General features: G+C 40.0%; 1 protein-coding gene across 1 annotated transcript in view; it reads left to right on the top strand.

Moving 5' to 3' along the window:
• Positions 1-27,646, top strand: part of USP37 (ubiquitin specific peptidase 37) — a 118,101-nt gene that overhangs the window by 28,740 nt on the left and 61,715 nt on the right. Inside the window, exons 9-10 of the mRNA NM_020935.3 lie at positions 4,906-5,003; positions 9,572-9,656. Of these exons, the coding sequence (NP_065986.3) occupies positions 4,906-5,003; positions 9,572-9,656 (183 nt within the window). The remainder of the gene's footprint in view (positions 1-4,905; positions 5,004-9,571; positions 9,657-27,646) is intronic.

Genomic DNA, 27,646 nt, shown 5'->3' with positions numbered 1-27,646 from the left:
TCCCAGGCAGCTGGGACTACAGGCATTCACCACCGTGCCTAGCTAATTTTTGTATTTTTTGTAGAGACGGGGTTTCACCACGTTGCTCAGATTGGTCTCAAACTCCTGAGCTCAAGTGATCTGCCCGCCTCAGCCTCCCAAAGTGTTGGGATTACGGGTGTGAGCCACTGTGCCCGGCCAATAAAAAGAATCTTATGCTGTGGTTGCGAAGATCTATGGTAAGAATGAATCTTCCATCCATGAAATTGTGAAGAAGGAAAAACAAAAATGTATGTTACTTTTTGTGTTGCACCTCAAACTGCAAAAGTGCAGCCACAGTACAGGATAATTGCTTAGTTAGAATGGAAAGGGCAGGTCGGGCACGGTGGCTAATACCTGTAATCCCAGCACTTTGGGAGGCAGAGTCAGGTGGATGGCTTGAGTCCTGGAGTTCAAGACCAGCCTGGGCAACATAGCAAGATCTCATCTCTACAAAAATTAGCTGGGTGTGGTGATATGTGCCTGTCATCCCAGCTACTTGGGAGGCTAAGGTGGGAGGATGGCTTGAGCCTGGGAGGCAGAGGTTGCAGTGAGCCGAGATCACACCACTGCATTCCAGCCTGGGCAGCAGAGCAAGCCCCTGTCTCAAAAATAAAAATAAAATAAAGTAGCATTAAATTTGTGAGTGGAAGACATGAACAGAATTTGTTCCAGTTGCTGGCAATTGAGTTCTATACTATCTGTGGTTTCAGTACTATCTGTGAATTCCATCATATTCATTGTGGGTCTTAGAACATGTACCCTGAAGATAAGGGGGAACTACTGTATCTAGAATATTGTCAGTCCCAATAAGGATTAATTGCTGTCTTTTTTAGTGTGGAAAAAATCTGACATAATCAATATGCTACCAAATGACTGGTTTTCTCAAGGGATGCCCTTGGATCAGGGTCTCAGTCTTTGCTGTTAACCAACTGGACATTCAGCAGCCACAGTAGATAAACCTTGGTGAAGGGGAACCCATTTTTTATAGCTTCTATCTGCCACCATGGCTGTTACGTTATTCATGGTCCCTTTGTGGAAATAACGGAATGTCTAAGGACAGAGGCTGGCTGACATGCACTGGACAAGTTATCCTGCTGATTGTTTAGTGTCTCTTTAGTGTTGTTCTCTGGTGAGCATTAACATGTAAAACAGATCACTCTTTGTACATACTCCCATAAGTCTGTCCATATGCCTCTTCCATAAATCATTTCTTTCCAATCTTCCAGGCTTGCTCGTTCCAAGCCCCTATTTATCCAAATCATTTGCCACAACCCAGGAGTCCATGACCCACTTCTCTCTCCATACAAAGTAGATGATGAGATGCATCCCTCCAAGCTCTGCACAATGGAGGATTTCCCCTCACAACTGTCTTTCAAGGCAGTCCCTAGTGGGACTATAGTGCAACAGTAGTTTATTTGCAGTTTGTACCAATGTACCAAGATGACCTATCCATTAATCAGGCCCAGGTTTATTCCTCGTTTCAGCTTGATGTAGGAAATGCCCCTAACGCTTGTTCTTGTCATCTCTTTCTTACTTGGGCCCAATTCCAATATACCTGCTTCCATTTTATGATGAATTGCTGTTGTACTCTCCTGGTCTTATCACTTCATGGGTGTGATAGCACTTAGCTCCTGATGGTTAGCTCTGGTTGCACAGTCCCTTGATGACCATCAGTCAGATGCTCTGTCTCTTCCAGGGCTTAATAATATGCCAAGAGTAGTATGCCATACTTTACAGATGAGGTATAATTTTTGGCTGCAGACAGCATGGTCTTGCTTTACAAGGTCTGGGCTGCAACTCTCCTGTGGGTGACTCTACACATTGTCTTTGTCCTTTAAGTTGGTAATTGGCTCAACTGAGCCTGTCTTCTCTCTTGAACACATAAATACTCAGCATCAACCAGTCAATTCCATAGTCTTTTTGATGATTATTTACCTGATATCACCTACATCTTATCTGTTGCTGTATCCAAACCACTCCAAAATTTAGTGACTTGAAATAGTAACTATTCATTTTTGCTTATGAATTTATGGTCACCTGGGTGGTTCTGTTTATCTGGGCCCAGTTTGGCTCATAGTACCTGGATTCTAATTTTGTTACGCCTCTGTAGTCAGTAGATGGTTTGGCTAGAGTTTGACTGGTCTAGGATGGCCTCACTCATATAACTGGCCATTGAGTGGTGGGCGTGATTGGGCCATGTGTCTTCCACTGTTAACAGGCTAGCCTGGGATTATTCACATAGCAGTGGCAGGGTTCCAAGAGAGTGAGTGGAAACCTGCAGGGCACCTTTAGACTTAGGGTCAGAACTCACACACTGTTAACTTCTGTCACATTGTTTTGGGAAAAGGAAATCACAGGACTAGCCCCATTAAGGGATGAAGAAATAGACTGAATTTATTGATTAGAAGCTTGAATATAGGGAGTGAAATAATTTGCGACATTTTAAAAACAACTTTATTAAGCTACAATTTACATACCATGTAATTGACCCATTTTAAGGGTATATAAGTCAATGATTTTTAGTAAATTTTTTTAGTTATATTACGTCATCATTATCTAGTTTCAGAACATTTCCATTACCCCAATACGATCTATTGTGTAATCATTCTACCACATTTCTAAAATACTGGAGATACTGCGTGAGCCCTATCCTTCTCTACCTTATTTCATCCTAATTCACCATAGGTGAAAATCTTAGCAATTGTAACACTATAAGATGTCAGAGGTATTACTATCAGCAACAGAATTTCTGTTGCCATTGCCAAACAAGGGTCCAATTCCAGAATCCTATCCTTAGAGTGTGCTTCCTAGGCCCACTTTTAGTACCAGCTGTTGTAGATTATGTTCCCCAGAAGCAGAATCTGAAATGGAGATTAGTGTGCATGTGAATTACTAAGGAAGTACTCCCAGAGAAGATAGTGAAGGGAGTAAGGAAAGCAATATAGTTAAGGGCAGGAAACAAAGCATGGATGTGATCCTGGAGAAGTCACACAAGGACATGAAGGTTAGTCTTCATCCTGATATTACAGAAATCTGTTATGTAGCTTCCACCATAAAGTTGTTTTAATCCAAATCAGGAGAGCTGGGCTTCTCTACTGTAGCGCCCGGCCTTGTTTGTGACTCTGAGATTACAGGCAAAGTATCTCTAGTAACTTGAGGGCAGTCCTGTGAAGAAGAGCCCTTGGTACTGGCTATCAAAAACATAAGTTGGTGTGAAGATATGGAAGAGAGAATATAAAAATGAGTCAGTGGGAATCTAGGTGGGGCACACTTAGGCATTGTCTGCCACAGGCTTAGTTCATGATGGTTCCCCTTAAATTAGCACTGTTAAAGCATGAACATTTATTTGAATGGACACTCTCTACTTATATGGGTTGAGGTATTTGAAAATAATACAGGGGAGAAAAGGGCTTTTAAAAGAAATTTTAACTTTGTATTCATGATCCTAAAGAATTTTAATCAATATAAATTAAAATGCTGTTGCTGCTTAGCAAATAGTATTGCTATTCATGTGGAATACACAGTTTTGATTTTGATTTTTCTTTTCCTTTTTTTTTTTTTTTTTTTTTTTTTGAGATGAAGTCTCGCTCTTGTCACCCATTCTGGAGTGCAATGGCGTGATCCCTGGCTCACTGCAACCTCTGCCTCTGGGTTCAAGCAATACTTCTGCCTCAGCCTCCTGAATAGCTGGGATCACAGACGCCTGCCACCACGCCTGGCTAATTTTTTTTTTTTTGAGACAGAGTCTCGCTCTGTCACCCAGGCTGGAGTGCAGTGGCGCGATCTTGGCTCACTGCAAGCTCCGCCTCCCGGGTTCACGCCATTCTCCCACCTCAGCCTCCTGCGTAGATGGGACTACAGGTGCCCGCCACCACGCCCAGCTAATTATTGTATTTTTAGTAGAGACAGGGTTTCACTGTGTTAACCAGGATGGTCTTGATCTCCTGACCTCATGATTCACCTGCCTCGGCCTCCCAAAGTGCTGGGATTACAGGTGTGAGCCACTGCATCCAGCCCACTCCCAGCTAATTTTTGTATTTTTAATAGAGATGGGGTTTCCCACGTTGGCCAGGCTGGTCTCGAACTCCCAACCTCAGGTGATCCGCCCGCCTCGCCCTCCCAAGCTGCTAGGATTAAGGCTTGAGCCACCGCGCCCAGCCTGATTTGTTTTTCTTTGTAAACCTATAAACTGCCAAGCTTGAACATTGTACTTTTTTTTTTTTTTAAGACTAAGACTCACTCTGTTGCCCAAGCTGGAGTGCAGTGGCGCGATCACGGCTCACTGCAACCTCCACCTCCCAGGTTCAAGTGATTCTCCTGCCTCACAGCCTCCCGAGTAGCTGGGACTACAGGAACGCGCCACCATGCTTGGCTAATTTTTGTATTTTTAGTTGAGACGGGGTTTCACTATGTTGGCCAGGCTGGTCTCGAACTCCTGACCTCGCGATCTGCCCGCCTCAGCCTCCCAAAGTGCTGGGATTACAGGAGTGAGCCACCGCGCCTGGCCACAGTTTACTTTTTAATTGATTCTTTTGGTCTTAGTAGCTGAATCATTTTATCTGGTCTTGCTTTTGGCCAAGAAAATCTAATAATCTTGCTGTCTCTGATTTGACTTTTATATAAAGAAAAATGCTCCTTTACTTTTGCTAAGTTATCAGAGTCATGGATTGGATTGGCTCTTGAGATAGTAATTAAAGATTATTTTTGTAATTTTCATTTGTTTAAGTCATTGACCTTTTGAGACTAACAATCTTGTAGCTTAATTTTCAAGCATATCAATGAATTTGGCACTTTAAATGTAAATGTTTTAATGACAACTATTTAAAATTAAGAACAATATTTTTATACACCTGTACTATATTGATGTAAAATTATTAACTATAGGAACAACAAGGCCATGACAGATCCCTCCAGAAAGTATTTAACCAGCAGTAGAGAAAAGCAGCTGAGTTTGAAACAGTCAGAAGAGAATAGGACATCAGGTAAGTGTTTGATCTTACAATAAATAAGGTGCTCATTTATTATATATTTATTAGATTAGAAATAAAAACCTAACCCATCTGTACATTCTTTTTATTTTTATTTATTTATATATATTTTTTGAGACGGAGTCTTGCTCTGTCGCCCAGGTTGGAGTGCAGTGGCACAATATCGGCTCACTGCAACCTCTGCCTCCCGGGTTCAAGTGATTCTCCTGCCTCAGCCTCTCAAGTAGCTGGGACTGCAGGTGTGTTCTATCATGCCTGGCTAATTTTTGAATTTTTAGTGGAGACGAGATTTCACCATATTGGCCAGGCTAGTTTCAAAATCCTGAACACAAGTTATCCACCTGCCTTGGCCTCCTAAAGTGCTGGGATTACAGGTGGGAGCCACCATGCCCGGCCTAATCTGGTGTTAGTTATTGGGTGCCAATTTGTACCCAGTACTTGGCTAAAATATTTTAAAGTATTAGAAATCCAGGGAATTTGTATTCTGTTTATAAAGAATCCAGTCTTTACCTTATTCTTCCCCTATTTGACTGCCTAGAATTAAGCTGTTTCATTGTCAAAGTACCAGGACCATAGAATGAATTAGAGGAGTAAAGTGGTTGAAATTAAAGTGCATCAGTGTTAGTGCTTATTAGAAGCTTCAGAAGATCTTGAAATTATTGTCTGAAGCAGTTTTTTAAACTTAACCTTCTACCCTGTTTTTACAAAAACATTTTTGTCAGATGTTTCCCACACTTAACGTATCTGTTCGATTCTCTGAAATCCTTAGAGAGTCCGTTATCTGGTATTAACTTGAGTATTATGTCAACTTTAACTTGAAGTAAGCTAAAATATGGCATGATTTTGATAAATTGATAGTTTAAGAGAATCCAGTTGATCAGGACCCTAGGAATATTCTTCTTTTAGTGGTTTGGGATTGTGACATTGACTCCTACAGAAAGAAATATCACATGTAAGTCTTACCTCTGAAATAATAATATTTAGAAGATATAAACTCTGCTTATTGTCTCTCAGCTTTTATAATCAGCCTATAGTTAAAAAACAGAAAACATAAGCTGTAATAAGCCTTAACAATGCTGAAGTTAAGGTACATCTCACAAAATTTGATGTGGAGGAGAGAAGGAAGTGCATGGCCAAATGACAAGATTAATGGAACAAAACGTAGATGTTTTAAATGTGTTAAAGTTACAGAGTTAATCGGTGGAAGAACTAAAGTAACACTACTAATGGTTGGAGAGAGGAGAACAAGAGTAGGGGTGATACTAATTTTCTACAATAAAGAGTCAATTGATACTGTTTAAAATGAGTAAATCAAGAAGTAGTAGAAATGTTATTAGCACTGTTGAAGAAATCAGAAAAAAAAAAGTTTTTTTAAATCGTTAAAAAATAGAAGTACAACTTGTGGAACTTGGGGGCAGGAGAGGGTAGCTTTGCTATTATAGCTTCTTTCACGGTATTTTATCTTTTAACATACATGTGTACCGGCATACTTCAGAGATATTGCAGATGTAGTTCCAGACCACATAAATAAAGCTAATAGCACAAAAAAGCAAGAATGAATTTTTTGGTTTCCCAGTGCAATAAAAGTTATGTTTATACTATGCTGGAGTCAGTTAAGTGTGCAATAGCATTATGTCTAAAAAAAAAATAATAATAAAGTACCTTTTTTTTTTTGAGATAGGGTCTCACTCTGTCGCCCTGGCTGGAGTTCAGTGGTGTGATCTTGTCTCACTGCATCCTTGACCTCCTGGGCTTAGGCTGTCTCCCACCTCAGCCTCCCAAGTAGCTGGGATTACAGGTGCACACCACCATGCCCAGCTAATTTTTTGTATTTTTTGTAGAGACATGGTTTTGCCGTATGGCCCAGGCTGGTCCCCAGCTCCTGGGCTCAAGTGATCCACTGCCTCAGCCTCCCGAAGTACTGGAGTTACAGGCAGGACCCACTGCACCCAGCCAGTCATAATTTTAAAATAGTTTATTGCAAAAAAATGCTAACAATCATCTGAACCTTCAGAGGGTTGTAATCATTTTGCTGGTGGAGGGTCTTCTGTGTTGTTGGCTGCTAATTAGGGTGGTGGTTGCTGAAGGCTAAGGCAGCTGTGGCAATTTCTTTCTTTCTTTTTTTTTTTTTTTTTTGAGACAGAGTCTTGCTCTGTCGCCCAGGCTGGAGTGCAGTGGCACGATCCTCGGCTCACTGCAACCTCTGCCTCCTGGGTTCAAGCAATTCTTCTGCCTCAGCCTCCCGAGTAGCTGGGACTACAGGCGCACACCACTACATGCAGCTAATTTTTGTATTTTTAGTAGAGATGGGGTTTCACCATATTGGCCAGGCTGGTCTCAAGCTCCTGACCTCATGATCCGCCTGCCTCAGTATCTCAAAGTGCTGGTATTACAGACGTGAGCCACTGCACCCGGCCAAGGCAATTTCTTAAGACAATTTGTCACATCTCTGATTGACTCTTCGTTTCATGAAAGGTTTCTCTGTAGCATGTGATGCTGCTTGATAGCATTTTACCCACAGAACTTCTTTCAAAATTGGGATCAGTCCTTTCAGACACTACCATTGTTTTCTCAACTAAATTTATGTAATATTCTAAATCCTATGTTGTAACTTCAACAATATTCATGGTTTCTTTACCAGGATTAGATTTCATCTCAGGAGACTTCTTTCTTTGCTCATCCGTAGGAAGCAACTCCACATCCATTAAAGTCTGATCATGAGATTGCAGCAATTCAGTCACATCTGCAGGCTCCACTTGTAGTTCTCTTGATATTCCCACAATATCTGCAGTTGACTGCATCTCCACTGATGTCTTGAACCCTCAAGGTTATCCGTGAAGGTTGGAATCAACTTCCAAACTCCTGTTATGGTTGCTATTTTGACCTCTTTTCATGAATTACAAGTGTTCTTAATGGTATCTAGAATGATAAATTCTTTCCAGAAGATTTTCAGTTCACTTTGCCTAGCTCCATCAGAGGGATCACTGTCTGCTGTAGCCTTCTGAAATGTATTTCTTAAATAGTAAGACTTGAAAATTGAAATGACTCCTTGATCCATGGGCTGTAGAATGGATGTTGAGTTAGTAGGCGTGAAAACAACATTATCTTTGTATGTCTCCATCAGAGCTCTTGTGTTACTAGGTGCATTGTCAAGGAGCAGTAGTATTTTGAAAACAATCTTTTTTTCTGAGCATTGGGTATCAGTAGTGGCTTAAAATATTGATTAAATCATGTTGTGAACAGAAGAGTTGTCATCTAGGTTTCGTTGTTCCATTTCTAGAGCACAGGCAAGTAGAATTAGCATAATTCTTAAGGGCCCTAGTATCTTCAGTATGGTAAGTGAGCATTGGCTTCAGCTTCAAGTCCTCAGCCACATTAGCGCCTAGCAAGAGAGTCAGCCTGTCCTTTGAAACTTTGAAGCTAGGCATTGATTTCTCTCTAGCTACGAAACTCTTAGATGGCATCTTCCAATATAAAGCTATTGCAGCTACATCGAAGACCTGTTGTTTAACGTAGCCACCTTCATCAGTGATCTTAGCTAGATCTCAGTAACTTGCTGCAGCTTTAATATCAGTAGTTGCTGCTTCACTTTGTACTTTTATATTATGGAGATGGCTTCTTTTTTTAAACCTGATGAACCAGCTCTTACTAGCTTCACATTTTTCTTCTGCTTCTCTCAGCCTTTATAGAATTGAAGAGAGTTAGACTAGACCTTTACCCTGGATTAGGCTTTAGCTTAAGAGAACATTGTGGCTGGTTTGATCTTCTGCCGAGACCACTAAAACTTTCTCCACATCAGCAATAAGGTTGTTTTGCTTTGTAATTCACTTGTTCACTTGAGTAGCACTTTTAATTTCTGTCAAGAGCTTTTCCTTTGCATTGGCTGTTTGGTGCAAAAGGCCTAGCTTTCATCCTGTCTCAGCTTTTGACGTGCCTCCCTGACTGGGCTTAATTATTGCTAGATTTTTATTTAAAAGGAGATGTGCATCTCTTCTTTTCACTTAAAAACACAGAGGTCATTGTAGGGTTATTAATTATCCTAATTTCAATATATTGTCTCAGGGAATAGGGAGGCCCAAGAAGAGAGACAGAGATGGGGTAATAATGACAATTTGGTGGAGCAGTCAGATAAATTGAGTTTGCCGTCTTATATGGGTGCAGTTCGTGGTACCCCAAAACAGTGACAACAGTAACATCAAAGATCACTGATCGCAGATCACTGTAATAGATATAATTAAAAAGTTTGAAACATTGCAAGAATTACCAAAATGTGACATAGACATGAAGTGAGCGAGCGTATACTGTTGGGAAAATGGCACTGATAGACTTGCTTGGTGCAGGGTTGCCACAGCCTTCCATTTGTTTAAAAAAAAACATACAAAAAAACCTGCAATATCTGTGAGGCACAATAAAGCAAAGAGCAATAAAATGAGGTATTCCTGTATTTGATGAGAAGGAAAAAGAGTTAAATATAATCAGGACTAATGTATACTTTTATTATTAAATGAACTTGAATGGTTGATTTAGGAATTAAGTTTTTCCTTTGTTCATTTGTTTTATAGGGCTTTTACCTTTACAGTCATCATCCTTTTATGGTAGCAGAGCTGGATCCAAGGAACACTCTTCTGGTGGCACTAACTTAGACAGGTATGCATTGGTTATATTACTTGTGAAAAACTTAGGAGTTCTTTTTTTTTCAGAATATTGAATGATTGGATAGGTTATGTATTATCCTCTTAAGTGAATATGATAATTTAACAAAATTGACGAGACTCATAGAATCCTGACATGTTAGTTAGAAAGTATTCTAGAAATGAGCTGAGCACAGTGGCTCACACCTGTAATCCCAGCACTTTGAGAGGCTGAGGTGGAAGGATCACTTGAGCCTTGGAGATCAAGGCTGCAATGAGCCATAATTATGCCACTGTACTCCAGCTTGAGCAACAGAACGAGACCCTGTCTCAAAAAAAAAGAGACAAGATCTCACTGTGTTGCCCAGCCTGGTCTCAAATTTCCTGACTTGAAACGATCCTCCCACCTCAGCCTTCCAAAGTGCTAGGGTTATAAGTGTTGAACCACTGCTCCTGCTCCTGGCCTCTACAGAATTTTTTTTTTTTTTTTTTTTGTTTGAGACCAAGTCTCGCCCTGTCACCCAGGCTGGATAGAGTACAGTGGTGCTATCTTGGCTCACTGCAGCCTTGCCTCAGCCTCCCACATAGCTGGGATTACAGGTGCCTGTCAGCACACCACGCTAATTTTTGTAGAGACAGGATTTTAGCATATTGACCAGGCTGATCTCAAACTCCTGACCTCAAGTGATCTGCCTTTCTTGGCCTCCCAAAGTGTTGGGATTATAGGCGTGAGCCATCGCATCCGACCACTCTACAGAAAATTTTTTAAAAATTAGCTGGGCATGGTGCCGTGTGCCTGTAGTGATAGCTACTTAGGAGGCTGAGTTGGGAGGTGCTCTTAAACCTGGCTCTGGGAAGTTTTGTAGTGATGCCATAGATTGCGACAGACAATATTATCAGACTGTAGACCAATATATATTCTACCATCCCATGTGGATGAACATACTAAGATCTCTCCTCTGAAGCATTTTTATTTTCCTTTTGTTGCTGTTGTATTTGTTAAGCTACATTTTAAATATTTAGGAATTTCCCTTAAAAATCAAAAGCTGTATTACAGCAGTGAATGTCTTTTATTAATAAATTGGAAAAGGCTAGTTGGATATTTAATTGCCAATTCTATAGATAAGCTCTTTTTTTTTTTTTTTTTTTTTTTTTTTTTTTTTTTTTTCAGATTTATTGGGTATAAATACATAAGATACCTGCTAAGCACTTGTTGAGAACATGTGATCATGCAGTGCAGCACAGAAGGGTTGATGGTTTTAAATGTAAAAAGTGAGGGTAATGGCAAATGCCCATCAATGATAGACAGGATAAAGAAAATGTGGCATATATATACCATGGAATACTATGCAGCCATAAAAATGGATGAGTTCATGTCCTTTGCAGAGACATGGATGAAGCTGAAAACCATCATTCTCAGCAAACTGACACAGGAACATAAAACCAAACACCACATATTCTTACTCATAAGTGGATGTTGAACAATGAGAACACATGGACACAGGGAGGGGAACATCACTCACCGGGGTCTGTCGTGGGGTGGGGGGCTAGGGGAGGGATAGCATTAAGAGAAATACCTAATGTAGATGATGGGTTGATGGGTGCAGCAAACCATGATGGCATGTGTATACCTATGTAACAAACCTGCACATTGTACACATGTATCCCAGAACTTAAAATATAATTAAAAAAAAAAAGTGAGGGTAATGGTAGTCTATAATATACATGCTATATAATGACCTATTAAGTCATATGTTTGTTTGTTTGTTTGAGATGGAGTCTCGCTGTATCGCCCAGGCTGGAGGACAGTAGGGCAATCTCGGCTGACTGCAACCTCTGCCTTCTGGGTTCGAGTGATTAGCCTGCCTCAGCCTCCCAAGTAGCTGGTATTACAGGCGCCCACCAACATGCCCAGCTCTTTTTTTGTATTTTTAGTGGAGACGGGGTTTCACTGTGTTAGCCAGGATGGTCTCGATTTCCTGACCTCATGATGTGCCTGCCTTGACCTCCCAAAGTACTGGGATTACAGGTGTGAGTGACCGCGCCCAGCCCATATTTGGTTCTTAATAGAATTTAATTCAAAGTGTTAAAAACATCTTGGTTATTTGTATAAAATGATTAAGGTAAAGAATTTGATATTATATATTTAGGTATATTCAGCCTTGGGTGGTATCTCAAGCACTTTATAGATTACAGTGGTAATTAAGTTATTTGAATTTAGGAGAGAGGAAGTTTGACATATTTCTGCTTATTAGAAGAATCTTAAATCTAAGTTTTAAAAAAGCCTACATTTGGTTTGCAAATGATTTCCTACATACAAAATTCTTCTCAAAATAATAGAATGGACATATTCATTCCATATAGGAATGATTGAGGAAAGAAATCTTTTTAGTGCAAAGCTGCACTGAGAGATAAGGTGAAAATTTCCAGATTGGTGAGAAAACTAATAGTGTGCAAAGGCTAAAGCGGTAAGGAATGTGGAGAACACAAACGAGAGCCAGGTGTCAATAGCTGGGACTTCAAACCAGCACGAGATTGGGAACTAAATGTAAATTAAATGTAAAACTTAGAACTTGTTTTCTCATAAGAAGCTGGGTGTTTAGAATAGCTCTTTGAGCTAGTAAACCAGAGTGGAACACTTGTGTATAAGTGCTTGGGGTTGGAACTGTAAATATGCTGCTTTCCTACTCCCTGAGTAGAGTGCAAAGACATGAAAATGGGACAACAATGATTAGCCTCTGCTTTACTGTTACCTGCATGGGGCCAGAATTATGACCATTTAAAGTCCTATGCAGGGTAGACGGCCAGGCAGAAGTAACTACTAAGTCCTTGTCAAGAAGGCTTGATCGTGGAATATAGCAAGGAAACCGAGATGATAAAAGCAGGCCGGGCGCGGTGGCTCACGCCTGTGGTCCCAGCACTTTGGGAGGCCGAGGCGGGTGGATCACGAGGTCGGGAGATCGAGACCATCCTGGCTAACACGGTGAAACCCCGTCTCTACTAAAAATACAAAAAATTAGCCGGGCGTGGTGGCGGGCGCCTGTAGTCCCAGCTACTCGGGAGGCTGAGGCGGGTGAATGGCGTGAACCCGGGAGGCGGAGCTTGCAGTGAGCCGAGATCGCGCCACTGCACTCCAGCCTGGGCGACAGAGCAAGACTCCGTCCCAAAAAAAAAAAAAAAAAAAAAGCAAATGAAATGAAGAAACTTACGTTGGTCTTCTTGGTGTACCCTCCATGTCTTAACAGTATTCTGGAAGAAAAGACTAAGGAAAATAAAGGCAAGGAAATTGGCAAAGAAGTAATAAATGAAAATGGTGAAAGTCCTCACATCGAAAAGCCTCAAAAAATACCAAACAACAAATACTTTTTAAAAAATCCACATTTTGTCAAAAAAGATGCTGGTGAAGTTGTGGAGAAAAAGAAATGTGTATACACTGTTGGTAGGAGTGTAAATTAGTTCAACCATTGTGGAAGAGAGTGTGGCCATTCCTCAAAAACCTAAAGACAGAAATACCATTCGAACCAGCCTGGGCAACATGGTGAAACCCCATCTCTACTAAAAATACAAAAAAATTAGCTGGGCGTGGTGGCAGGTGCCTATAAATCCCAGCTACTCAGGAGACTGAAGCAGGAGAATCACTTGAACCTGGGAGGCAGAGGTTGCAGTGAGCCAAGATTGCACCACTGCACTCTAACCTGGGCAACAGAGCAAGACTGTCTCAAAAAAAAAAATAAATAAATAACCATTCAACCCAGCAATCCCATTACTGGGTATATACCCAAAGAAATATAAACCATTCTGTTATAAAGACCCATGCATGTATATGTTCACTGCAGCACTATTCACAATAGCAAAGACATGGAATCAACCTAAATGCTCATCAGTGATAGACTGGATAAAGAACGTGATACATATACACCGTAGAATACTATGCAGCCATAAAAAAAGAATGAGATCATATCCTTTGCAGGGACATGGATGGAGCTGGAGGCCATTATCCTTAACCAACTAACACAGGAACAGAAAACCAAATACTGCATGTTCTCACTTATAGGTGGGAGCTGAATGATGAGAACACGTGGACATATAGAGTAGAACAACACACACTGGGGCTTGTTGGAGGATGGAAGGAGGGAGAGGATTGGGGAAAATAACTAATGAGTACTAGGCTTAATACCTGGGTGATGAAATAATCTGTATAACAAACCCCCATGCCACGAGTTTACCTATGCAGCAAAACTGTACATGTACCCCTGAACTTAAAATAAAACTTAGAAAAAAATTTATATTGTAAAATTTTAGAAGCTACCCGAAAGAAAATACATCCTCTATAAAAGTGGAGAAATCAGATTGACATTAACACTATTGGAATAGGAAGCAGATAGTTAGATATTATTAGCAGAGTAACAGTATCAAAAACTTCTATACCTAGCTAAATTATATTTCAAGAATATAGACAAAGAATGCAATATTTATTTATTTATTTTTTAGACAGGGTCTCACTCTGTCACCCAGCCTGGAGTGTAGTGGCATAATCATGGCTCACTGCAGCCTCAGCCTCCTGGGCTCAGGTGATCCTCCCACCCACAACCCCCCCAGTAGCTGGGACTACAGGTGTGTGCCACCACACCTGGCTATTTTTTTGGTATTTTTCGTAGACACGGAGTTTCACCATGTTGCCCAGGCTAGTCTCAAACTCCTGGGCTCAAGTGATTCGCCTGCCTCAGCCTCCCAAAGTGCTGGGATTACAGGCACGAGCGACTGCACCTGACCAAGAATGTTATTTTTCAGATGTGCAAAGACAGATAGAATTAATTCATCAAAAAGAAAACTGAACAAGGAAGGAGTGATAAGAAAAATCAGTGAATAAAAACAATTTTAAAGTATATTTTTTAATCTAAATGTTTTTAAAGTTTATCTTTTAGCTAATAAGTGAATGTGGTAGAAAATTCAAATGACATAGGGTGTATACAGTAAAGAAGATCTTCTTTTCTTTCCTAACTCCTAGTTTTCATTTTCCCTTTTGAGACATAACCACTGTTACTATTAATAACATCCTTCTGGCCGGGCATGGTGGCTCACGCCTGTAACCCCAGTACTTTGGGAGGCCAAGGCGGGTGGATCACCTGAGGTCAGGAGTTCGAGACCAGCCTGGCCAACATGGCGAAACGCTGTCTTTACTAAAAATGCAAAAATTAGGCAGGCGTGGTGGTGCGTGCCTGTAGTCCCAGCTACTCAGGACGCTGCGACAGGAGAATCACTTGAACCCAGGAGGCAGAGGTTGCAGTGAGCCGAAAACGCGCCACTGCACTCCATTCTGGGTGACAGCGCGAGACTCCATCTAAAAAATAAAATAAAATAACATCCTTCCAGGGTTATTTTATGTATGTAAATACGTCTTGATATTTTCTATCAAAGGAGGATGTTGTTGGATTAAAAGCCAATACTTAATAAAACATTGGACAAAAGAAATACAGGAGTGGAGAAGATTCAGGGAAATTAAAATATTTCAAGCTTTAGTTTCAGAGGAGGCTGCAATTACATAGACATATTAAAAAGTTAAAGATGGCTGGGAGTGGAGCAGTGGTTCACACCTATAATCTCAGCACTTTGGGAGGACTAGGTGGGAGGATCACTTGAATCCAGGAGTTCAAGACTAGTCTTGGCAAGATAGCAAGACCCCCATCTCTACAAAACAGGAAAGGCTACATAACTAATCTAGGAATTTAATAAAACCTTGTAACAGCAATATGAGAAGAGAAAATTATAGTTTTTCACTTATGAACACAGAAAAATCCAAAATAAAATTTTAACAGTTGAATCTAATAGGGCATTGAAAATGATACACAGTGACTGAGTAGGGTATATCCCAGAAATGCAAAAGTAAACATTAGAAAACTCTTTTGGGATTGTGGTAGATTTTTAAAACTATTTGATAGCCATTGATGATACCTACTTTTAGCATATTAGGAACAGAGCATTATGTTCCTAGTTTGATAAAAAGTTATCTGTCAAAAACTTAAATCACATTACAATTATGAAACTTTGAGAAGTATTCCCATCAAAGTCAAGAACAGGGTGATATTGTTCTGAAGGTTTTAGCCAATGCAGTAGGACAAGAAAATGAAATAAAGAGGTTTGGGGATTGGAAAGGGGAAAAACAGAATTGTCATAATTTGCAGACTGTGTGATCTGTTAAATATTTAACACAAAGAGAATCACCAGAGGTTATTAAAACAAATTAAAGTGCTCTAGGCCGGGTTCAGTGGCTCACACCTATTATCACAGTACTTAAGGGGGCAAAGGCAGGGGGATAGCTTGAGCCCAGGAGTTCAAGACCTGCCTGGGCAACATAGTAACATCCTGTTCTCCACAGAAAAAGGATGAAAAAAGACCCCCCCGCCAAAAAACAGCTTTATAAGGTTTCTGGAATACAAGATCAATTCACAAAATTAATGGTGTTTCTAAATCCAGCAATAATAAAATGTAAACTGTAACAGAAAACAGATTAAGTATTCCTAATCCAAAAATCTGAAATCTGAAATGTTCCAAGTTTCATTAGAAATTTTTTGAGTGCTGATATAATGCACAAAAGGTCATGCTCAAAGGAAATGTTCATTGGAGTGTTTAAGACTTTCAGATTAGGGATGATCAACCAGCGTAATACAAATACAATATTTCAAAATCTGAAATTCTTTTTTTTTTTTTGAGACGAAGTCTCGCTCTTGCCCCACAGGCTAGAGTGCAGTGGCACAATCCTGGCTCACTGCAACCTCCGCTTCCCGGGTTCAAGCGATTCTCCTGCCTCAGCCTCCCAAGTAGCTGGGATTATAGGCGCCTGCTAATTTTTGTATTTTTGGTAGAGACGGGGTTTCACCATGTTGGCCATGCTGGTCTCGAACTCCTGACCTCAGGTGATCCACCCGTCTCGGCCTCCCAAAGTGCTGGGATTACAAGCGTAAGCCACCGCGCCCAGCTCCAATTTTTGTATTCTTAGTAGAAAGGGGGTTTCACCATGTTGGCCAGGCTGGTGTCAAACTCCTGACCTCAGGTGATCCACCCGCCTTGACCTCCCAAAGTGCTGGGATTACAGGGCATGAGCTGCCGCATCCGGCCCTGAAACTCTTCTTTCCAAGCATTTCAGGGATACTCAACCTGTACTATTTATAAGAACTACAAAATCAGTGAGATAGATAGGAATAAATCTAATAAAATATGTATTTTTATGAAGAAAAGGATTACTAAGGGACATAATGGAAGACCTAAGTAAACAAAGCTCAAGGATATCATTTATCCCCAAATTAATAAAAAAATTTAAGGTAGTTCCAGTTGAAGTCTCACAAAGTACTTTTTGTGGAACCCCCGCCCATACAAAAAAAAAAGAATCTAAACTTTTTTTTTTTTTTTTTGTGGTGGAGTTTGCCTCTGTCACCTAGGCTGGAGTACGGTGGCACAATCCTAGCTCACTGCAGACTCTAACTTCTGGGCTCAAGCAATCCTCCTGCCTCAGCCTGCCAAATAACTGGGACTACAGGTGTGTGCCACCGTGCTTGGCTAATTAAAAAAAAAAAGAGAGAGATGGGGTCTTTCTATGTTGGCCAGGCTGGTTTCAAACTCCTTGCCTCTGGCAATCCTCCCTCTTTGACCTCCCAGAGTGCTGGGCTTACAGGCATGAGCCAGTGTGCTCAGCCTTAAATTCTATTTCTTATAAGTAAGCTTATAAGAATAGCCAAGATAATTTTGAAGAAGGCCTAAGAAGATGGGTTGAATGGCCAGATATTAAGACTTAATGTTGGTGCGGTGTGGTGACTCACCCCTATAAATCCTAGCACTTTTGGGAGGCCAAGGCAGGAGGATGGCTTGAGCTCAGGAGTTTGAGACCAGCCCTGGCAACATGGTGAGACCCTGTCTCTACAAAAAAAAAAAAAAAAAAGCCACGTGTGGTGGCATGGACTTGTAGCCCCAGCTACTCAAGAGGCTAAGGTAGGAGAATCGCTTGAGCCCAGGAGGTCGAGGCTGCAGTGTGCTGTGATCACGCCACTGCACTCCAGCCTGGGCAACAGAGCAAGACCTTGTCTCAAAACTGGAAAAGACAACGTTAAGTGGTGGTGATTATTACAGGGGATGCATTAGAATTAATCTTTAATCCCTGGAGCAAAATAAAGACCCAGAAACAATCTTGTGCATATATGGGGACTACTTGGATTGTGGTACAGATGAAATTAAAAATTAGTGTAGGATCCAGACTTTTTAGTCAGGTGGGGAAAAAATGAACAAATATTGCAGGCATAAAAAAGAATGAGTTCATGTCCTTTGCAGGGACATGGATGAAGCTAGAAGCCATCATTCTCAGCAAACTGATACAGGAACAGAAAACCAAACACTGCATGTTTTCACTCATAAGTGGCAGTTGAACAATGAGAACACATGGACACAGGGAGGGGACCATCACACAGTAGGGCCTGTTGGGGGATGGAGGGCAAGGGGAGGGGAGGGCATTAGGACAAATATGTAATGCATGCGGGGCTTAAAACCTAGATGGTGGGTTGATAGATGCAGCAAATCACCATGGCACATCTATATGTAACAAACCTGTACATTCTGTACAGTATCCCAGAACTTGAGGTAAAATTTAAAAAATAAAATCTCTAGATCTAAAGGCAAGGAATGCATGGACAAAATCTGAAAGTAGCCTATTGTATTAGTCTGTTCTCACATTGCTATAAGGAAATACATGAAACCGGATAATTTATAAAGAAAAGAGGTTTAGTTGACACACAGTTCTGCAGGCTGTACAGGGAGCATGGCAGCGTCAGCTTTTGGGGAGGCCACAGGGAACTTAGAATCATGGCAGAAGGCAAAGTGGGAGCCAGCACTTCACATGGTCAGAGAAGGAGGAAGAGAGTGAGAAGGGGGAGGTACCATACACTTTTAAATGACCAGATCTCATGAGGACTCTATCAGGAGAACAGCACCAAGTTTAGCACCAGGATAGTGCTAAAGTGTTCACGAAGGATCCACCTCCATGATCCAATCACCTTCCACCAAGCCCCACCTCCAACATTGGGTATTATGATTTTACATGAGATTTGGGCAGGGACAAATATCCAAACTATATCAGCTATTCTGAGGGACAGCTGGCCTGTTCTCTTCACCAAGTTGATGTCATGTCAAGTAAAGGTTGCAGGGAGTCAGGAGAGCACTCTTAAAGGTTATAAATGATTTAAGAGATATAAAAACCAAATGTAATATATGGACTTTGGTTGGATCTTGGTAAGAATAAACTGGGAATAACACTTTTTTGTAAAACTGTTGGCAAGGGCCAGGCACAGTGGCTCACACCTGTAATCCCAGTACTTTGGGAGGCTGTGGTGGGCCGATCACCCGAGGTCGGGAGTTTGAGACAAGCCTGACCAACATGAAGAAACCCCATCTCTACTAATAATACAAAAAAATTAGCTGGGCGTGGTGGCGTATGCCTGCAATCCCAGTTACTCGGGATGCTGAGACACGAGAATCGCTTGAACCTGGGAGGTGGAGGTTGCAGTGAGCCAAGTTCGCTCCGTTGCACTCCAGCCTGGGCAACAAGAACAAAACTCTGTCTCTGGAAAAAAAAAAAAAAAAAAGCTGTTGGCAAGGTTTAAATATGAGTCAGGTATTAGATGATGATAATAAAGAATTGTTAACTTTGAAAAAAAATTAACAAATATAAAAATTAAAAGAAAAAATTGGCCAAGCTCAGTGGCTCATGTCTATAATCCCAGTACTTTGGGAGGCTGAGGTGGGTGGGTGGATCACATGAGGTCAGGAGTTCGAGACCAGCCTGGACAACATGGTGAAACCTCGTCTTTACTAAAAATACAAAAATTAGGCAGGCATGGTGGCACACACCTGTAATCGCAGCTACTCAGGAGGCTGAGGTAGGAGAATTGCTTGAACCCGGGAGGCAGAGATTGCAGTGAGCCTAGATCGCACCATTGTACTCCAGCATGGGTGACAGAGCAAAACTCTTTCAAATAAAGGAAAAAAATAATGCAGGAATTTTCAGAGCATTGAAAAACTGACAGGAGGCCTGGTGTGGTGGCTCACGCCTGTAATCCCAGCACTTTGGGAGCCTCAGGTGGGTGGATCATGAGGTCAGGAGTGCAAGACCAGCCTGGCCAACGTGGTGAAACCCCGTCTCTACTAATAATACAAAAATTAGCCACTGCAACCTCTGCCTCCCCAGTTCATGCTATTCTTCTACCTCAGTCTCCCGAGTAGCCAAGATCCCGCCACTACTGCACTCCAGCCTGGGACAGAGGGAGACTGTGTCTCAGAAAAAAAAAACAAAAAACAAACAAGAAAAAACTGATAGGAGTGTGAGGAATTACCAAACCGAGAAGGGAGGAGGAAATCCAGAGTTCCCAAGCACGTTGGCTGAACCAGAAGAGATTGCTGAAAGACCAAGCAGTGCTTTTGACACACTCATGAGTCTAGAAGGACAATAGAGGCTAGGACCTACCAATATAGGGAGCCTAGTACATTACTCCACATATTTCAGTGTGTACTGAAGGGTTCCCTCTGGGAATAAGGATGAGCTAGAAGTAAGCCAGCCTTTCTGTGAATTTTATTAATCTGTATGGCCCAGTTATTGCAAGCACTGAAATTTAATTAAGTTGATTATAAGTGGCTAGTATCCTAGATGATTGACATAATAAATGTACTAAATGAAAATTCTCTCTGGGGGAAGACATTTTCCTACTACACCTCAACATATTTCTATAATTCTTAGATGTACATTTTTTCACATTAGTATTTACAATGGAAGTATATCAGATATTGTGACATCTTAAATTGCTGCCAGGAGGCAGTTGTAACATAGTTGGCATTACCTGCACATTAGCAGACTTGGTTGTCATTTGTGGTATTACTGAAAAACTATATTTTTTAGTCAGACCACTTAAAATGACCACTTAAGAAAGGGCAGCAAATTCTAGTTGTGATCTGAAAATCTGTGGGCTTCTTTTGGTAAGATTAAGATAACCTCAGTATTAGACCTTGCCAAATGAATGTCATTGGCTTAGAAGGAAACTCCCGGAGACATAGTGTGGCACTATTTACTATCTAGAAATGCAGCATCATCACACTGTGGGCTTAATTGGAGAAAAAAGAAAAGAAAGAAAGAAGAAATACAACATCACCTTTGTTTTTAGTAGCACAGGTAGCAGCACTTTTTGGAAAAACTGAAAAATCTATGACCCTGGGTGGGAAAAATGATTCAGAAGATTCAGATTCTGAATGTGAGTTATTAGAAATATCTTAACCGGTTTTATATTTTCCTTTTTGTATAAGAGCAACATGATAAAAATGTGTATCTAGTTACATAAAAAGCTTCCAGTAAGAAGTAAAAATTCTAAGCCATAGAAGTCATTATATACTTTGGTTGACATTGTTTTTTCTTTCTTAGTACTACCTGAAATAAATGTTATGTCTTATAATTGGTTGTATCTTAGATTTGATTAAATACTGTTCAGTGTCCAGACATGCAGCAAGACAGGTCAACATGAATTATTACTAGAAGAAATAGTTTAGATCGGCAGTGGACCACAGGGCTCCACATATTCTGGAATTAATGAGTCAGTGATTATAAAAGAACAATATTTAACACATCAAAAGAAATAAAGGAAATTTCTGTAGAAAACCTTAAACTGTGAAATTATCACAGATTTAAAAAAATCAAATAGAAAATCTAGAAATGAAAAATACAAAAACTCAAATCTGTTTTGGATTTTTTTTCCAGCATAAAACATAATTGAGACCAGCCCGGGCAACATTGGGAAATCTCGTCTCTACAAAAAAATTAAAAATTAGTCAAGCATGATGGCATGCACTTTTGGTCCCAGCTACTTGGGAGGCTGAGGTGGGAGGATTGCTCAAGCCCAGGAGGTCAAAACTGCAATGAGCTGTGATTATGTCACTGCACTTCAGCCTGAGTGACAGAATGAGACCTTATCTCAAAAAAAAGGGGTGGGGGGAATAGTAATTGAGAGAATTAGTGATCTGAACGATGACTCAGAAGAGGCTCTAGAATAAAACATGAAAAAGACAATACAGGAGAGTGTTAAGAGACATAATATAGTTAAAAGGTCTATTGTGTCTTATTAAAGTCTCAAAGAAGAGGGACATTGGGGTATAAACTGTATTTAAAGATATTGGCTGAGAATTTTCCAAAAGTGATAAAATCAGACTTTAGAATTAAGAAGCCTAATGAATACCAAGTAGGATTGAGAAAAAGAAACCTACCCTTAGGCATGTCATAGTGAAACTCTAGAAATAAAGACAAAGTCTCAAAAGCAACCGGGAGAAAACATTTCAGCTTCAAAGGAGCAAAAATATCTGACCTTTGACTTTTCTATAGCAATTGTAGAAGCCAGAAATATCTTCAATATGCAGAAATAAAATAACTGCCAACATAGAATTTTATTTGCTGTGAAAATATCCTATAGTTTCGAAGTAAAGGTGAAATAGACACTATCATACAAAACAAAATAATAACAGAGTTTACCCACAAATATGTACTAAAGGAAATGCTAAAGAAGTTTTTGGGCAGATGGAAAAAGAACTCAGATTAAAGGTTGGAGCTTCAGGAAGGATGAAGAGCAACAAAAAGTTAATATGCTGTCTATCTTGATAAATTCTGTTATACAAAACAATAGTAATATCTTGTTGGGTTTAAATGACAACAATAACATATAAACCAGAAGTGAAGGAAGACACAGAATAATTAAATGGAGTTAAATTGTTCCTAGTTTCTTTCATTATCCAGGAGAAGGTAAAAGAGTCAGCTACATTAGACTTCAATATATCAAAAATGCATGAGTACACAAATATTGTACTCTAGTTCATAATTTGTTTCTCACAGGGGTGTAGGGTTAGCAGTTCTGAAACCACCTCATGTGTATACTTGGATTGAACAAGTAAACATTGTAGATACTGAGATCCAGGCTTGCAATGTCAGAGAAAGAAATAAGGAAAGGAAGAAAGCTAGTATGAACCTTTGGTGTTCAGTTAGAATCAGAGATGTTAATATGAACTCAAGGTTTTATATATGTAAATTCATGTATAGATTGATTCAAAATAAACATACATGCATTTGTATGTCTTGGGTTACACACGTACATACATTTCCTAGCTCAGTCCACTAGGGGGGGTACCTTGAAGCAATTGCACCCAAGTAACTATGAGCACCCTAGTGCCAGACCCTGATTTTTTTATTTTATTTTATTTTACTTTAAGTTCTGGGACACATGCAGAATGTGCAAGGTTTGTTACATAGGTATACATGTGCCATGGTAGTTTGCTGCACCTATCAACCTGTCATCTAGGTTTTAAGCCCTGCATGCATTAGGTATTTGTCCTAATGCTCTCCCTCCCCTTGCCCCCCATCCCCTGACAGGCCCCCATGTGTGATGTTCCCCTCCATGTGTCCATGTGTTCTCATTGCTCAACTGCTACTTATGAGTGAGAACGTGCAGTGTTTGGTTTTCTGTTCCTGTGTTAGTTTGCTGAGAATGATGGTTTCCAGCTTCATCCATGTCCCTGCAAAGGACATGAACTCATTCTTCTTTATGGCTGCATAGTATTCTATGGTGTATATGTGCCACATTTTCTTATTTATCCCGTCTATCATTGATGGGCATTTGGGTTGACTCCAAGTCTTTGCTATTGTAAATAGTGCTGCAATAAACTTATGTGTGCATGTGTCTTTATAGTAGAATGATATATAATCCTTTGGGTATATACCCAGTAATGGGATTGCTGGGTCGAATGATATTTCTGGTTCTAGATCCTTGAGGAATCGCCATGCTGTCTTCCACAATGGTTGAGCTAATTTACACTCCCACCAACAGTGTAAAAGCATACCTGTTTCTCCACATCATCGCCAGCATCTGTTGTTTCCTGACTTCTTAATGATCACCATTCTAAATGGCATGAGATGGTATCTCATTGTGGTTTTGATTTGCATTCTCTAATGACCAGTGATGACGAGCTTTTTTTCACGTTTGTTAGCCGCATAAATGTCTTCTTTTGAGAAGTGTCTGTTCATATCCTTCACCCACTTTTGGATGGGATTGTTTGGTTTTTCTTGTAAATTTGTTTAAGTTCCTTGTTGACTCTGGATGTTTGTCAGATGGATAGATTGCAAAAATTTTCTCCCGTTCTGTAAGTTACCTGTTCACTCTGATGATAGTTTCTTTTGCTGTGCAGAAACTCTTTAGTTTAATTAGATCCCATTTGTCTGTTTTGGCTTTTGTTGCAAATGCTTTTGGTGTTTTAGTCATGAAGTCTTTGCTCATGCCTATGTCCTGAATGGTATTGTCTAGGTTTTCTTCTGTGGTTTTTATGGATTTAGGTTTTACGTTTAAGTGTTTAATCCATCTTGAGTTAATTTTTTCGTAAGATGTAAGGAAGGGGTCCAGTTTCTGTTCTCTGCATATGGCTAGCCAGTTTTCCCAGCACCATTTATTAAATAGGGAATCCTTTCCCCATTGCTTATTTTTGTCAGGTTTGTCAAAGATCAGATGGCTGTAGATGTGTGGTGTTATTTCTGAGGCCTCTGTTCTGTTCCATTGGTCTATATATCTGTTTTGGTACCAGTGCGATGCTGTTTTGGTTACTGTAGCCTTGTAGTATAGTTTGAAGTCAGGTAGCGTGATGCCTCCAGCTTTGTTCTTTTTGCTTAGGATTGTCTTGGCTATACGGGCTCTTAAAAAAAAAAAGTTCCCTATGAAATTTAAAGTAGTTTTTTCTAATTCTGTGAAGAAAGTCAGTGGTAGCTTGCAGACCCTGATTTTTAAATACCATTATTCAGTACAAGAAAGCAGAGCTCCTTGAAATAATAGTTGATTCCAGGGCTAGAGCAGGGAAAATGCAAGATCAGTCTATAACATCTTGTGGTGCCAGAAAGTAAAGATATGCACAAAAAAGTATGAGGAAATGTCCGAAAGACACAGGAGCCAACCTGAAAGGGTTACCAATGGCCCAAACTAGAACAATTATAGTTACGAAATGATAATATTGGATTAAACCTATAGAAAAAAAATAAATATGTCTGAGTCCATACTGAAATGAATGAATGAATGTGTAGAGACTGAAGAGCTCTCCTAACAGAAGAATTCCAATTAAGAATTTCAGAGGGTTGTAGGAATAAAATATTACCTTAATCAAATACTGCAGTAATAATTGCAGTCAAAATGTATCATTGGGTGCTAAAATTAGTGGACAAAAGTTTGATGAGAAACAGGGTATTTGCATAGTCTCAAAAGTATCTCCCTATATTTCTTAATTACAAAAGGAAAAATAGAAACTTCACTGTAGAGAAACCCAGAAGATACCTTAACCAAGAAATCAAGATTACCAACACCAGTAATAAGACATTGTCATTATAGACTCTGTGATATGATGCACTGAGGAGGTCACAATGTCACTTAGCTGTTATTGTTTGCTAATGCATAACCTCAATCCAATCATGAAAAAACATCAGACAAACCCAGTTGAAGGAAATAAAGTAAAATACCTGACCATTACTCTTCAAAATTGTCAAAGCCATTAAAAAAAGAAGAAATTGAGGATTGTACGAGTAAAGAAACATGACAACTACTTGCACTGTGGGATCCTGGGCCAGAAAAAGGACTTTAGTGAAAATACTGATGAAATTTGAATAATATGTGTAGGTTACTAGTTAATAGTATTGTATCATTGTTAATTTCCTGGTTTTGGTCATTGTACTATGGTTATATAAGATTCTAATATTAGGAGTAGCTGGGTGAAAGCCATTTTGCAACTTTTTTGTAAATCTAAAACTGTTTCAGGCGAGGTGCAGTGACTCACGCCTGTAATCCCAGCACTTTGGGAGGCCAGGGCAGGTAGATTGCTTGAGCTCAGGAGTTCAAGATCAGCCTGGACAACATGGTAAAACCTCATCTCTACCAAAAATACAGTTAAAAAAAAAATTAGCAGGGCGTGGTGATGTGCATCTGTGATCCCAGCTACTTGGGAGGCTGAGATGGGAGGATCTCTTGAGCCTGGGAGGCAGAGGTTGCCGTGAGCCGCGATGGCGCCATTGTACTCCAGCCTGAGCAACAGAGTGAGACCCTGTCTCAAAAAATAAAACTATTTCAAAAGAGAAAGTAAGTGGTTAAACAAATTGTGGTATATTCATACAATGGAATGCTGTCTAGCAATAGAAAGGATGAACTGTTTATACACCCAGCAGAATGGATGAATCTCAAAATAATTAGGCTGAGTAAAAGACCTCATAAGAAAGTGCATATTGTAAGATTCCATTTATATGAAATTTTAGAAAATGTAATCTATAGTGACAGAAAACAGATCAGTAGTTGCCTGGTCACAGAGACAAGGTCACAGGCAGAGAGGAGTGGGAGGAAGGGATACAAACGGGCACCAGGATACTTTTGGGAGTAATAGATATGTTCACTATCTTAATTCTGGTGATGATTTCATGAGTGTATATATGTCAGAACTTAAAGTTATACACTTTAAATGTGTGCATTTTATTGTATGTCAACTATACTTCAGTAAAGCTGTTTCTACTTTTAATGCATAATATAATTTTTAGGACATCCATTAAATTTCTAGACTGGGCATGGTTGGCTCACGCCTGTAATCGTAGCACTTGGAGAGGCCAGGATGAGAGTATCACTTGAGCCCAGAAATTTGAGACCAACTGGTCAACATAGCGGGACCCCATCTCTTCAAAAAAATACAAAAATTAGCCAGACATGGTGGTGCACGCCTATAGTCCCAGCTACTTGGGAAGTTGAGATGGGAGGAATGCTTGAGCCCAGGAGTTAATATATATATATATATGCCTATATTATTTCCAGACTAACGGAGGGGAGACAATGAAATAAATAGTTAAACATTCTAAAAGAAGGCATAAAGGAGAGAAAAAGGAACATAGAACATGTAGAACAAATAGTAAATGCATCATAAAATTCAAGAAATAACCCAAATCAGTACTGACATTACTGATACAAATATACTAAATTTATATAAAATTTATATGAGTATGTACTAAATATTCCAGTTAAAGTATACACAGGATTTAATGGAAGAAGAAAATGTATGTGCTATGTAAAAGAGAAACAACTACAATATAAAGATGCAGAAAGGTTGAAAACAAGATGAAAATAGATACATCACATATTATCCAAAGTACAATATTTAGGGGTTTGTAGTAAGGGATAAAACTTTTAGATAATGCCGACTTTTAGGTTAGAGGAATGCAGAGTTGTAATTGGAAGGGGAACTTGGGGTTTAGACACTAATAAGGTTATTTACACAAGTGTTTGTTTTATGAAAATTTGTTATGCTCCACATTTGATTTTTATACACTTTTCCCATGTGAGTATTCTATTTCGCAATTTATTTTTAATTTTTAACTTTTTTTATTTTTTTTGAGACAGCGTCTCTCTCTGTCCCTCAGGCTGGAGTGCAGTGGCATGATCTCAGCTCACTGCAACCTCTGTCTCCCAAGTTCAAGCAGTTCTCCTGCCTCAGCCTCTCAAGTAGCTGGGGACTACTGGTGTGCGCCACTACGCTTGGCTAATTTTTGTATTTTTAGTAGAGACAGGGTTTCTCCATGTTGGCCAGGCTGTTCTCAAACTCCTGACCTCAGGTGATGCGCCTCCGTTGGCCTCCCAAAGTGCTGGGATTACAGGTGTGAGCCACCGTGCCCAGCCTTAATTTTAAAATAATAGAGACAGTGTCTTGATATGTTGACCAGGCTGGTTTCAAACTCCTGATCCTCCTGCTTCAGCTTCCCAGAGCGTTGGGGTTACAGGCATAAGCCACCTGTGCCTGGCCTACACATTTTTTTTAAGTACCAAACCAAACAGCCACTAACACATGGCTTAGACAAACAATAAGTAATTTGGGAACAATTGGTTTGCCTTACAGAAAAGTAAATCTTATAGAAAAGTATGCCTCACAACATACAGA

This window comes from Homo sapiens, chromosome 2 (assembly GCF_000001405.40).
Source record: "Homo sapiens chromosome 2, GRCh38.p14 Primary Assembly".
NCBI classification, from domain to species: domain Eukaryota; kingdom Metazoa; phylum Chordata; class Mammalia; order Primates; family Hominidae; genus Homo; species Homo sapiens.
The sequence above is the reverse complement of the archived record's forward strand: the minus strand, read 5'-3'. Positions and strand labels throughout refer to the sequence as shown.